A 1,742-nucleotide genomic window follows, 5' to 3' on the forward strand; every position below is an offset into this window, starting at 1 on the left:
TAGAAGAAGCTGTAGCAATACAAATTGCAACATTTTGATATATTTGACAGAATAATAAGGACATGGGGCATTTCAAGACTTTCATATAATCTTTGAAATACTATATTTACAAAATAAAAGTAAATCACATTTATCTGACCGAAAAAAAGAGAAAACTTCATAAAGGGAGATATTTCTCCAGAGAACTGTGAGTAGAAACATACAGCTTTGAGGAACAGCTCCGGTCTACAGCTCCCAGCGTGAGCAACGCAGAAGACGGGTGATTTCTGCATTTCCATCTGAGGTACCGGGTTCATCTCACTAGGGAGTGCCAGACAGTGGGCGCAGGCCAGTGTGTGCGCGCACCGTGCGCGAGCCGAAGCAGGGCGAGGCATTGCCTCACCTGGGAAGCGCAAGGGGTCAGGGAGTTCCCTTTCCGAGTCAAAGAAAGGGGTGACGGACGCACCTGGAAAATCGGGTCACTCCCACCCGAATATTGCGCTTTTCAGACCGGCTTAAAAAACGGCGCACCATGAGACTATATCCCACACCTGGCTCGGAGGGTCCTACGCCCACGGAATCTCGCTGATTGCTAGCACAGCAGTCTGAGATCAAACTGCAAGGCGGCAGCGAGGCTGGGGGAGGGGCGCCCGCCATTGCCCAGGCTTGCTTAGGTAAACAAAGCAGCCGGGAAGCTCGAACTGGGTGGAGCCCACCGCAGCTCAAGGAGGCCTGCCTGCCTCTGTAGGCTCTGGGGGCAGGGCACAGACAAACAAAAAGACAGCAGTAACCTCTGCAGACTTAAATGTCCCTGTCTGACAGCTTTGAAGAGAGCAGTGGTTCTCCCAGCACGCAGCTGGAGATCTGAGAACCGGCACACTGCCTCCTCAAGTGGGTCCCTGACCCCTGACCCCCGAGCAGCCTAACTGGGAGGCACCCCCCAGCAGGGGCACACTGACACCTCACACGGCAGGGTATTCCAACAGACCTGCAGCTGAGGGTCCTGTCTGTTAGAAGGAAAACTAACAACCAGAAAGGACATCCACACCGAAAACCCATCTGTACATCACCATCATCAAAGACCAAAAGTAGATAAAACCACAAAGATGGGGAAAAAACAGAACAGAAAAACTGGAAACTCTAAAACGCAGAGCGCCTCTCCTCCTCCAAAGGAACGCAGTTCCTCAACAGCAACGGAACAAAGCTGGATGGAGAATGATTTTGACTAGCTGAGAGAAGAAGGCTTCAGACGATCAAATTACACTGAGCTACGTGAGGACATTCAAACCAAAGGCAAAGAAGTTGAAAACTTTGAAAAAAATTTAGAAGAATGTATAACTAGAATAACCAATACAGAGAAGTGCTTAAAGGAGCTGATGGAGCTGAAAACCAAGGCTAGAGAAGTACGTGAAGAATGCAGAAGCCTCAGGAGCCGATGCGATCAACTGGAAGAAAGGGTATCAGTGATGGAAGATGAAATGAATGAAATGAAGTGAGAAGGGAAGTTTAGAGGAAAAAGAATAAAAAGAAATGAGCAAAGCCTCCAAGAAATATGGGACTATGTGAAAAGACCAAATTTACGTCTGATTGGTGTACCTGAAAGTGATGTGGAGAATGGAACCAAGTTGGAAAACACTCTGCAGGATATTATCCAGGAGAACTTCCCCAATCTAGCAAGGCAGGCCAACGTTCAGATTCAGGAAATACAGAGAACGCCACAAAGATACTCCTAGAGAAGAGCAACTCCAAGACACATAATTGTC

General features: G+C 48.1%; 1 annotated feature.

The window, feature by feature from the left end:
* Positions 573-1,286: an enhancer, noted in NCBI's record as "NANOG-H3K27ac-H3K4me1 hESC enhancer chrX:28225271-28225984 (GRCh37/hg19 assembly coordinates)". NCBI's record gives its function as "activates a minimal SCP1, AML or CMV promoter by ChIP-STARR-seq in naive H9 embryonic stem cells {active_cell/tissue: H9 hESC(naive)}" and the evidence as "EXISTENCE:reporter gene assay evidence [ECO:0000049][PMID:30033119]".

Source organism: Homo sapiens, chromosome X, assembly GCF_000001405.40.
Source record: "Homo sapiens chromosome X, GRCh38.p14 Primary Assembly".
NCBI lineage: Eukaryota > Metazoa > Chordata > Mammalia > Primates > Hominidae > Homo > Homo sapiens.